Source organism: Homo sapiens, chromosome 8 (assembly GCF_000001405.40).
Source record: "Homo sapiens chromosome 8, GRCh38.p14 Primary Assembly".
NCBI classification, from domain to species: domain Eukaryota; kingdom Metazoa; phylum Chordata; class Mammalia; order Primates; family Hominidae; genus Homo; species Homo sapiens.
Genome location: NC_000008.11, coordinates 7,251,882 through 7,264,004, shown reverse-complemented (window position 1 = coordinate 7,264,004; position 12,123 = coordinate 7,251,882). Strand labels below are relative to the sequence as shown.

Genomic DNA, 12,123 nt, shown 5'->3' with positions numbered 1-12,123 from the left:
GGCAACTTCCAAACACAAATTCATACAGAGAAGTTACCTTCCTCTCTACCGCACTAGCAGGTGATGGTCTTTCCTGTTCTATCTTTTGGCTTTAGCTCCAGCCCCTCTTTATTTATTTTCCTGGTATTTTACGCATACCACACGAATTCATCTGAACAAACGGGGAAGAAGTGCCATATCGTATCGACGTCTTACACGGCTGAAGGTCAAACCCCCCTTTTTTCCAAAGTCCTTTTTCCATTTACCCACCAATTCAGCATGCTGCAGTACATTTCTTTTCGCATTCCCATCTTGGTCTTCTCCCACACGTGGAGACGGATATGTTTTCTCGTTTTCTGTTCCAAGAATTACTAGTAACGAGAACACATCCTACCCCACCAGCAAGCCCCAGTGTGATCGGTTTCTTTCGGCCTCCTTTGTCTCTTCCTCCCCCACACCCCCCGCAAATACCCCTCAGGGATTGCGTGAAACAAACAATTGTTCAGCGAAACTAACCTGAAATTACACGTCTACTTTCTTTCCCAGGCTGGCGCTGAGATGGGCAGGTGCTGCAGCAGCCCCGCTGGAAGCGATGCAGCATCCAGAACGACGGAGGAAGGGGCGGAGAGGGACCTCTGCTTTCCAGGCTGCCTTTTATACTGCCTCTGGTCACCTGACATGGAACGTACCCTAACCTAATCAGTTACCTGTACCTTAATTGCAATTAACTTAATCCAGTTACATGACCTGGAAAGGTCTATCTGCACAGCCCACTCTAAGATCCTGTCCACTGCTGACAGACATTCTAAAACCTACTTGTACAGCTGCAAGCTTTGAACAATAGATGTTCCCCGTCAGACATGTAACACTGGTGCCTGTATCCCTGTCTTCTTTTCCATCTTTTTTGTTGTTTTGTTTTGTTTCGTTTTAAAAAATGTGGTAAAATAGACACCTTTTAATTGGACCACATTTTGTCTCTCTCGACGTAGGCCTCAATGTCATCAAGGAGACTCTCCTTGACATGCAGTCACGGCCATGATCCATCTTCAGAGCTTCTCTTTCTTCCCCAAGGTAAGTCTGTCAGCAGAGAACCCTGACCGCACCCTCATGTGTTTTCTCCCCCAGGAGGCGCTTGGAAACCACCGTGAATTGGACCGCACTGGGAAACACAGATGAGGAAAGTCAACAACGCTTTGTCCTTCAGTGCCTGGCTCCTTTTTCAGCTCGTCTTGCGACTCCCGGACGCCTGTGAGGCTCTAATTCCCTGGGTCCCATTGCCATGTCTCTGGATTTGCGAAGATCCACCGCACCTTCTGTGGAACTCCCGTGTCGGTGAACTTTTGTGCCACGGCCCCTAATTCTGCCCATGGTCATCCGCACCTGCACGACTTAGGGTCCATGTTCCTTGGACGGGAAGAGACAGGCAGGAGTCGGAATGATGAACCAGCACACTGGGGCGTTTTCTCATGTAGCCCAAGTGACCCCATGGTCTTCTCGAGCTTTGGAACCAGTCGCGTCCCCTTTGACACTGCACCCGGCTCCCAGTCTCTCAATCTTGTTGGCCCTCCGGCGATCTCCCGTTGGATGAATTGCTCCTGCTGAAACTCCAGTCCCCTTTGATTTGCGCTTCATTAATTATTCATGATTCAGGTTGGAAGGCCTGCTGACGACCCCCTGTGGCCGTTCTCTGAGCTTTCCTGTCACATCGTTTCCTTCCACGCTCTTTGGTTCCTTATGGTCCTGCTCCCTCTGTTGTCAGAGGAGCAGAGAGTTGATCTTATTCATTCTGGATACGGATACTTTCTAGGTGATCTGGATAATCAAGATAACGACCCTCAACAGCGGCGGAGAGGGAGCAGCCAGTTGGTGTGTCTCAGAAAATCCCACTGAGTTCCGAGGCCTCCTAGATGTGGAATCCTGCTGAGAGTTGTTCCCAGGTCAGAGAATGGAGAGAGCCTGTGCATGATGGGATATCCCCGCCTAGATCTTTCAGTGAGTCTCTACCTCAGCTACTCTTAGGATCAGGGGGAGAACCATGGTGTCAGACATCCGGAAAGAAGACGGGATGAATGTTTTACCTCTGAAGTACATCCCAAATGTGGGAGTTAACTTCAGCTTTGCTGGGGTCTATTTGGCCAGTGAAACTCTGCCTGGTTCCTTCGCACATCCGGAAGCCACTTCACGGGGGGCCGTCGCAACTGGAACCACACACTTGGCATCGGCGGTTGAGCCAAATGGGGACTCGTGGTGCAAGCAACGCTCCCCACGTGTTAGCGTGCGTGAGATGCGGTTGGCGGAATTTTACTAGGTGCGTGTTGGTAGAGTGGGGCTGAGGTTTTCTTGCTCCTGTGGATGTATAGCAAGTCAAAGGTCCTGCCCAGCCCTGCGGTCCCCTCAGTCAACTCTGTTTCGGAGACGTAACGATTTGGATTGCCAACAAGTCAAGAAATGTTCAAGCCCTTGGATGTAGGGTAAAGAAAGAGAGATCAGACTGTCACTGTGTCTATGTAGAAGGGGAAGACATAAGAGACTCCATTTTGAAAAAGACCTGTAGTTTAAACAATTGCTTTGCTGAGATGTTGATCATTTGTAGCTTTGCCGCAGCCCCTTCCTTTGACCCAACTTGGAGCTCACAAAAACCTGTGTTGTATAAAATCGAGGTTTAAGGGATCTAGGGCTGTGCAGGACGCGCCTTGTTAACCAAATGTTTACGAGCAGTATACTTGGTAGGAGTCATTGCCATTCCCTAGTCTCAATAAACCAGGGGCGCAATGCACCGTGGAAAGCCACAGGGACCTCTGCCCTTGAAAGCAGGGTATTGTCCAAGGTTTCTCCCCATGTGACAGTCTGAAATATGGCCTCGTGGGATGGGAAAGACCTGACTGTCCCCCAGCCTGACACCCGCAATGGGTCTGTGCTGAGGTGGATTAGTCAAAGAGGAAAGCCTCTTGCAGTTCAGATGGAGGAAGGCCACTGTCTCCTGCTTGCCCCTGGGAACTGAATGTCTCGGTGTAAAGCCCGATCGTACATTTGTTCAACTCTGAGCTCGGAGAAAAGCTGCCCTGTGGCGGGAGGCGAGACATGTTGGCAGTAATGCTGCCTTGTTATTCTTTACTCCGCTGAGATATTTGTGTGGAGAGAAACATAAATCTGGCCTACGTGCACGTCCAGGCATAGTACCTTCCCTTGAACTTAATAATGATATGGATTCTTTTGCTCACGTGTTTGTTTTTGTTGTTGCTGTTGAACTTCCCCTTATTATCACCCTGCTCCCCTACTGCATTCCTTTGTGCTGTAATAATGATAATCATAATCAATAAAAACTGAGGGAACTCAGAGGCCGGTGCCGGTGCAGGTCCTAGGTGTGCTGAGTGCCGGTCCCCTGGACCCACTGTTGTCTCCCTATACTTTGTCTCTGTGTCTTATTTCTATTCTCCATCTCTCATCCCACCCGACTAGAAACACCCACAGGTGTGGAGGGGCAGGCCACCCCTTCACTTGGAAAATCAGTTACACACAAACACGGAATGAGAGTCAAAAGACAATATGTCATCTTTTTGAGAATTTTATTCACTTCAAAACCAATTAAACACACATATGTACAAAGGCATTCCAGAGCCCAGTTTTCGAGGCTGAGGAAAGACCCCGAGAGCGCTTCACACAGCACGCTTCCCAGCGTCCGAAACTCTGCTCTCAGGGCGGGGCACAGAGGAAGGGCTGCACCTCTCAGGGTTCCCTAACTTTTCCCTTATTCAGTCATCTAGAGAGCAAATACACAGTAATTCCCCAGTTTCCTATTGACGTCCCAGCGGAAGTCTGACTCCTGCGCGTCACGCAGTTTCTGAGGCAACGAATCTCTGGCACGGAAGCTTTTCCTGGCGCGTTTCGGGAGAACCACGCCAACTACAACGTCCCTCACCAGAATTCAATGAGGCAGAGTCCCTGCATCTGCTCCCTGCCTGGCCTGGGCTCCCACATCCACAGAAGCGCCACAGCCGGGGAGCTTCGGAGTCACCGCACAGAGTCTGCTCTCTGCTCTGCGCTCCTCAGTCCCACAGTCCCCTCCAAGTCACGGGAGCTGGAGGCCAAGGAGCCCCTGCCACCTGCAGTCTCACTCCAGGTCAGAATCGCTGTCCTCTGAGGAGGAGGAAACCTGAAGGTCCTCATAGAGGACGCTCGGTGGGACACGAACACAGGGAGCCTCAGACTTCTCTGACACATGAGGGCTCTGAGCGAGGAAGGCTCCCGGCTTCTCAGGAGAGTGAAATGAGGGGGCCGCCAGGAGGCTGGAGCTCCAGCGTCCGTTTTCCAGTCTCCGGAAGAGCACTCTGAGAGGCTGGGCCCCATCATGGCTGGCCGCTGGGTGATGGGACATGGTGCAGGCCTGGGCAGTGGGCAGGCAAGGTCTGCTGTGCGGAGGCTGCCGGTCGACGCTGGGCACCTGGGCCGGTGTCCTCCTGCCCATCTGGGGCGACGTACTTGGTCCAAGTTCGGTTGCGGCTGGCGGAGGTTGGAGATTCTCCGGGGCCCCCAGCTCACCTCCCTGGATGGCGCTTTCGGGGATCTGGAAGGGACCCAGTCTCGGTTTCTTGGGGAAGTTCAGGCAAGCCTGAATCGGAGCCTGGGCAGGTCTCTTGGCTCCTGGCCCGAAGCTGAGATTGGAGCCTAGGCCCAAGCTGTGTGTGGCGGCTGGCGGGCAGGGCTGTGAGGTCACCGCAGGACGTTTGTCTTGTGCCTGGGGTCTGGCGGCCTGGAGCAGGCCGTGGGTTTTGGAGGCAGCCTGGGGAACTTCTCGGCAGCCACCCTCGGGGCGGCTGTGTGTCGGCTTCACCACGAGGAGAGGCTCGCGGCCCTGGTGCCTGACTGCAGGCTGAGGCATGTCGGCCGCAGCCCCTGTCTGTCTTTCCTTTGGTCCAAGACTTGAGGAGGAGCTCAGGCTGGCTTTTCTGAGGGGAGACAGTGAAGCCAAGACGGAGCCCCTGCCAGACATTTCGGTAGCTGAGCGATCAGCGAGGACAGGGTCCAAGCGCGGCCTCTTACTGGTTGTGTGGACCGGCATTGGCCCGCTTGCAACCTGAAAGAGAGGAAACAACACAGGTTAGAAGTTCCTCAGCATGGAGCCAACGTGAAAATCAAGCACATCCAAAGACAAGGTGCACACGCCATGAAATTCTTAGTACAGTATCGACAGGCGGTCCTTGGAAGTAGGGACAGACCCTCCACCTGAGTGCTGATCAGGACAAGACACATGAAAGATGCGCTCTCGAGCTATGTGTAGCTGATCTAAGCACACCATTGTTCAAAAGATCGCGTCTTGGGCATTAACTGGATCAAAGCGCCTCCACTCAGCCTTCCATGAAGTGGAACGGACTAATGCCCTTCCCAAGGCAGGTTGCTGGCTCAAGGGTACTCGGGACGTCTTCTCTGAACACATGCATGTTCCTGGGTTTCGCCTTCTCCACGTTTGGGGCCTCTGAGGGACTAATTTCCTCATGCCGCTAGGAACGTGTTGTTGGCAGGCTTGCCATAATTGGACAGAAAGAAAGCAACAGGAAATACGGCATGTTCAGATGCCTTCGCCTGGAATCCAATTGACCTGGAAGGATCGTGGAGTCCCTGACCCCAAGAAGGCAAGAAAGAGGGGTTCCCCGATTTCCTCCCGCAGACGGGAAGCTGAAAGGAAATCAACCAGGGTGACCTAGAGGAGAAAAAGACCAGGGGCCCGGGGTGACACTCGCCCTCAGATAATCAGAAGGTTCCGTGGATCCTTTTCCATTCGGCAGCGGCTTCTCTGGAGGTTTCCCGGAAAACATGTGGAGGAGAGCCTTCCTCTGCGGGTCTTGTTGCCTGCAGAACAGAAAAAGGTCAGGCCGTGCCCCCTGGTTTTCCCCAGGAGACAGGGAGAACCCCGTCTGGGGCCCAGCCCCATTCCGTGTCTTGTGATACAGAAATGGACATCTGGTGCCCTTTCCGCCTCTGCACCTTCCCTCACGTGCCAACCTTCCCATCCTCCAGGTGGCCCTCTAGGCTCCCCAACTAAGGACTGTGATTTGGATTCCATCGCTTTTCCCGCTGTGGCGGGGAACCTGCACGAAGCGCCCCCGCCTCTCCCCGTCCCTGAATCTCCCAGAGCCCAAGGAGCTCCTGGGTGTGGAACCCCGGAGGACACGGAGCTCCGGCCTATTTCTCTGCAGCGTTCCTTCCCTGGCCCGGAGACGGAAAGGCACACGGTGTGCAGGTGCAGAGACACCATGTCCTTAGGAGGCAGTACCCCAAGAGTGGTGAAAACCCCTCCCACTGCTCACCTTGGTCTCTCTTCCTTCTCTCCCTTATCCTTGTTCAAGGGCCCCGGGTTGGCTTCAACCCGGGGCTTCCATGGTTTCAGGTTTTCCTTCCCTTCCTTTTTCCCCAAGGTCGCTGGAACCAGGGCTGCCTTCCAGCACTTCATGGGGCACCTGGTACTTCTGGCCGTGTGGCCAAAGGCCCCGCAGTTTTTGCACTTGAGCTGTGGGTGGAAAGGAAGTGATGTCAGTGAGTGAGCTGAAGCCACAGGCAGCGATCCCACGTCAACATTGGGACGGATTGTGAATTCAGAGCTGAATAAGGATTCCAAAGAGGGGACACCGGCATGGGGGCCGTTAAGTGCTGGGAGAGTTCGGATACGATGTTCCCTCGCAAAGCCCGTGTGACGGAGGAACTCTGAAAGGAAGGACTCAAGGTTCCAAGGGGCACGATGGTGAAGCCGATGTCAACAACGCAGCCAAACGTGGCTACACAGGACTCTAAGTAGAAAGGGAGGTTGCCCCCAAGAGTCTCTCAAGGGACCTATCGGGCCGGGGAGAAGGTCCCAAGCCACGCCCACCTTGGATGGGAAAAGCAACCTGGCTGGTGGTGACAGAACTCTTTGGAATCCAACCCAGTCTCTGAGGACCGTGGGACACCCCCTCCCCCCGTCCCCACCCCCACCCCGATACCCAAGAGATCCAGGGCTAGACTTACCCTGGGATCTTCTTCATCGGGCGGGGGAGCCCTTGGCCCAACTGGGGCCCTCCGCTGCTTCTGGAGGGTCTGGGCTCTCACCAGTCTCTTGGCCCAAGATGTGGGGTCCCGACGTGCCATCATCTTCGTCTCCTGGGGGTTTTATGACCGCCTTTTTCAGGGGTGGACTGTTGGGCCACCTGAAACACACACAAACACACACATGTCGATGGTTAAGCACGTTGGATATTCACACACCCACAGGAAGCCACCTGCTAACTCCCTGCCTGTGTGGTCATGAGGAGACCTCACCACCAGTCGGTCAAATCTGTAGCACACAATGTGCTGTGCGCATCCTCGGATATTGTGTGTTCCTCTGCCATGACTACCTAGTCCAAGAGTAAACCCCACCTGCCACAGGGCCCGTGGCCTAGGTATGGGGGGTTGAGCTTTCAACCCCAAACAAACAACTGATTCTGGAGACTGGACTTAGGTCTCTCACGATTCACTCCGGTAGAAGACACGGTGATTCTATCTCCCTTGACGGACAGAATGATCGAAGACACAGGGCATGGCGTGTGCCACCCTTTGGCAGGTCTGCTTGAAGTCAGGGATAAGGGATGCTTCCTGTGACAACTTGAATCGCTACTCTTGCCATTTCATTAGGCAACTTCCAAACACAAATTCATACAGAGAAGTTACCTTCCTCTCTACCGCACTAGCAGGTGATGGTCTTTCCTGTTCTATCTTTTGGCTTTAGCTCCAGCCCCTCTTTATTTATTTTCCTGGTATTTTACGCATACCACACGAATTCATCTGAACAAACGGGGAAGAAGTGCCATATCGTATCGACGTCTTACACGGCTCAAGGGCCAACCACCCTTTTTTCCAAAGTCCTTTTGCCGTTTACCCACCAATTCAGCATGCTGCAGTACATTTCTTTTCGCATTCCCATCTTGGTCTTCTCCCACACGTGGAGACGGATATGTTTTCTCGTTTTCTGTTCCAAGAATTACTAGTAACGAGAACACATCCTACCCCACCAGCAAGCCCCAGTGTGATCGGTTTCTTTCGGCCTCCTTTGTCTCTTCCTCCCCCACACCCCCCGCAAAACACCCCTCAGGGATTGCGTGAAAGAAACAATTGTTCAGCGAAACTAACCTGAAGTTACACGTCTACTTTCTTTCCCAGGCTGGCGCTGAGATGGGCAGGTGCTGCAGCAGCCCCGCTGGAAGCGATGCAGCATCCAGAACGACGGAGGAAGGGGCGGAGAGGGACCTCTGCTTTCCAGGCTGCCTTTTATACTGCCTCTGGTCACCTGACATGGAACGTACCCTAACCTAATCAGTTACCTGTACCTTAATTGCAATTAACTTAATCCAATTACATGACCTGGAAAGGTCTATCTGCACAGCCCACTCTAAGATCCTGTCCACTGCTGACAGACATTCTAAAACCTACTTGTACAGCTGCAAGCTTTGAACAATAGATGTTCCCCGTCAGACATGTAACACTGGTGCCTGTACCCCTGTCTTCTTTTCCATCTTTTTTGTTGTTTTGTTTTGTTTCGTTTTAAAAAATGTGGTAAAATAGACACCTTTTAATTGGACCACATTTTGTCTCTCTCGACGTAGGCCTCAGTGTCATCAAGGAGACTCTCCTTGACATGCAGTCACGGCCATGATCCATCTTCAGAGCTTCTCTTTCTTCCCCAAGGTAAGTCTGTCAGCAGAGAACCCTGACCGCACCCTCATGTGTTTTCTCCCCCAGGAGGCGCTTGGAAACCACCGTGAATTGGACCGCACTGGGAAACACAGATGAGGAAAGTCAACAACGCTTTGTCCTTCAGTGCCTGGCTCCTTTTTCAGCTCGTCTTGCGACTCCCGGACGCCTGTGAGGCTCTAATTCCCTGGGTCCCATTGCCATGTCTCTGGATTTGCGAAGATCCACCGCACCTTCTGTGGAACTCCCGTGTCGGTGAACTTTTGTGCCACGGCCCCTAATTCTGCCCATGGTCATCCGCACCTGCACGACTTAGGGTCCATGTTCCTTGGACGGGAAGAGACAGGCAGGAGTCGGAATGATGAACCAGCACACTGGGGCGTTTTCTCATGTAGCCCAAGTGACCCCATGGTCTTCTCGAGCTTTGGAACCAGTCGCGTCCCCTTTGACACTGCACCCGGCTCCCAGTCTCTCAATCTTGTTGGCCCTCCGGCGATCTCCCGTTGGATGAATTGCTCCTGCTGAAACTCCAGTCCCCTTTGATTTGCGCTTCATTAATTATTCATGATTCAGGTTGGAAGGCCTGCTGACGACCCCCTGTGGCCGTTCTCTGAGCTTTCCTGTCACATCGTTTCCTTCCACGCTCTTTGGTTCCTTATGGTCCTGCTCCCTCTGCTGTCAGAGGAGCAGAGAGTTGATCTTATTCATTCTGGATACGGATACTTTCTAGGTGATCTGGATAATCAAGATAACGACCCTCAACAGCGGCGGAGAGGGAGCAGCCAGTTGGTGTGTCTCAGAAAATCCCACTGAGTTCCGAGGCCTCCTAGATGTGGAATCCTGCTGAGAGTTGTTCCCAGGTCAGAGAATGGAGAGAGCCTGTGCATGATGGGACATCCCCGCCTAGATCTTTCAGTGAGTCTCTACCTCAGCTACTCTTAGGATCAGGGGGAGAACCATGGTGTCAGACATCCGGAAAGAAGACGGGATGAATGTTTTACCTCTGAAGTACATCCCAAATGTGGGAGTTAACTTCAGCTTTGCTGGGGTCTATTTGGCCAGTGAAACTCTGCCTGGTTCCTTCGCACATCCGGAAGCCACTTCACGGGGGGCCGTCGCAACTGGAACCACACACTTGGCATCGGCGGTTGAGCCAAATGGGGACTCGTGGTGCAAGCAACGCTCCCCACGTGTTAGCGTGCGTGAGATGCGGTTGGCGGGATTTTACTAGGTGCGTGTTGGTAGAGTGGGGCTGAGGTTTTCTTGCTCCTGTGGATGTATAGCAAGTCAAAGGTCCTGCCCAGCCCTGCGGTCCCCTCAGTCAACTCTGTTTCGGAGACGTAACGATTTGGATTGCCAACAAGTCAAGAAATGTTCAAGCCCTTGGATGTAGGGTAAAGAAAGAGAGATCAGACTGTCACTGTGTCTATGTAGAAGGGGAAGACATAAGAGACTCCATTTTGAAAAAGACCTGTAGTTTAAACAATTGCTTTGCTGAGATGTTGTTCATTTGTTGCCTTGCCTCATCCACTTTGCCCCAGCCCCTTTGACCCAACTTGGAGCTCAGAAAACCTGTGTTGTATAAAATCGAGGTTTAGGGGATCTAGGGCTGTGCAGGATGTGCTTTGTTAACCAAATGTTTACAAGCAGTATACTTGGTAAAAGTCATTGCCATTCTCTAGTTTCAATAAACCAGGGGCACTATGCACCGTGGAAAGCCGCAGCGACCTCTACCCTTGAAAGCAGGTTATTGTCCAAGGTTTCTCCCCATGTAACAGTCTGAAATATGGCCCTGTGGGATGGGGAATACCTGACTGTCCCCCAGCCTGAGACCCGTAAAGGGTCTGTGCCGAGGTGGAGTAGTCAAAGAGGAAAGCCTCTTGCAATTTAGATGGAGGACAGCCACTGTCTCCCGCATCCCCCCTTGCCTCCCTGGCTCTTAGGACCCGCATCGCAGGTTGTGAGGCACTCCCCCCGTTTCGGGTTGTAAGAGCCAAACCCTCTTGCCCCCCTGGCTCTTAGTTTCCCCCATCGCAGCGGGGTGAGTCACGTCCTGCTATGCTTGGGGTAAGAGCCAGCCCCTCTTGCCCCCCTGGCTCTCAGGACCCCCATCGCAGTGGTGTGAGGCACGCCCCTTGATGCGGGTATTAAGAGCCTTCCCATCTTACCTCCTGGCTCTTAGGACCCCCATCGCAGGGGGTGAGGCACGCCCCGCCATGCGCAGAGTAAGAGCTAACCCCTCTTGCCCCCCTGGTTTTTAGGATCCGCGGTGGACTCACAGCCTGTTTATCATATTGTGAGTAATATCGTCTCCCGCTCTGGAGATTGTGAACTGTTTCACCCACCAGTGTTCACCCCGGCGTACAGAGGTTGTACAACCGTCTGTATTGGGAGTCATATCATCCTCTCCCTCTCTGAATATTAAGAACAGTATCACAGGGGTGTTTCTACTCCCTCGGATATCGCGTGTCATATCCTCCTCTCCCACGTTGCAATTACAAACAATATCAGTGGGGGCGTGTCCAACTTCTGTGATACTGAAAGCAATATCATCCTCTTCCCTCCAGGATCGTGGGAACAATATCCTTGGGGGTGTCCACTTTCTGCCATATGTGTAGTCATATCACCCCCTCCGCCTTGGAATATTATTAAGAACCACGTCACACGGGGGTGTACACTTCCTACGATGTTGGGAGTAATAGCATTCTCTTCTTCCATGAATATTAGGAACAAAATCACCGGGTGGATGCACACCCAGTGCTATATTGGGAGTAATGTCATACTCCACCCCCTGGAGATTATATTCGGATCAATATCACCGGCTGGGTGTGCACCTGCTGCGATATTGAACGTAATATCATGCTCTCTCCCTCCCTGAACATTAGGAACAATATCACAGGTGGGTGTACACCCACTGAGGTATTAGGGCATACTATTAGTATGAATTATTCCTTGTTTTTTATTAACATGAATATGAATGGCCGATATTAATATTAATATTAAGAAGTAATTGCTAATAAAAAGTTCTCAGATTATTAATATTAATATTAATTATTAGGAGCTAATATTACTATTTTCTAAAGAATAAGATCAGTATCAGTTATTAATATCAGGCGTCATAATCATCAATATTAATCATGTATTGTTATTGTTAGTATAACTATTTAATATTAATTATCATTAGTATCCGTATTGATTTTTAAAATTATATTATGGGTTATTAATATTGATAATTATTAGTGTCAGTTAATAATTGAGATTATTAATTGCGGTAAGTCGCATTGCGCCATTCCACCCCTTCCTCGGCAGCTCGTTTACGACCCAAAACGGGGACACAAATGCCCCTGAGAGAGCAGCGGTATACTGGGATAGATGAAAATGCTCATGTAGTGGAGAGACGTGTTTTTGGGTACCAGCCCTTCACCTGCGTCGACCTTCTCAACT

The 12,123-nt window shown here is 51.8% G+C and overlaps 1 protein-coding gene and 2 long non-coding RNA genes across 3 annotated transcripts; 2 read left to right on the top strand and 1 right to left on the bottom strand.

Moving 5' to 3' along the window:
• The first annotated feature begins 512 nt into the window (after nt 1-512).
• Nucleotides 513-3,386, top strand: LINC00965 (long intergenic non-protein coding RNA 965). Its single transcript, NR_027000.1, has one exon. It is a non-coding gene; the product is annotated as a long intergenic non-protein coding RNA 965 (long non-coding RNA).
• Nucleotides 3,387-4,090: 704 nt separating this feature from the next.
• FAM90A15 (family with sequence similarity 90 member A15) lies at nt 4,091-7,101 on the bottom strand. Its single transcript, NM_001423538.1, has 4 exons — nt 6,979-7,101; nt 6,285-6,484; nt 5,718-5,826; nt 4,091-5,053 (listed from the first exon to the last, which is right to left on the bottom strand). Exons 1-4 carry the CDS (start codon nt 7,099-7,101, stop codon nt 4,091-4,093), a joined length of 1,395 nt encoding a protein of 464 aa, NP_001410467.1.
• Nucleotides 6,525-10,281, top strand: LOC124901878 (uncharacterized). Its single transcript, XR_007060795.1, has 2 exons — nt 6,525-7,682; nt 8,149-10,281. It is a non-coding gene; the product is annotated as an uncharacterized LOC124901878 (long non-coding RNA).
• The last annotated feature ends 1,842 nt before the right edge of the window (nt 10,282-12,123 follow it).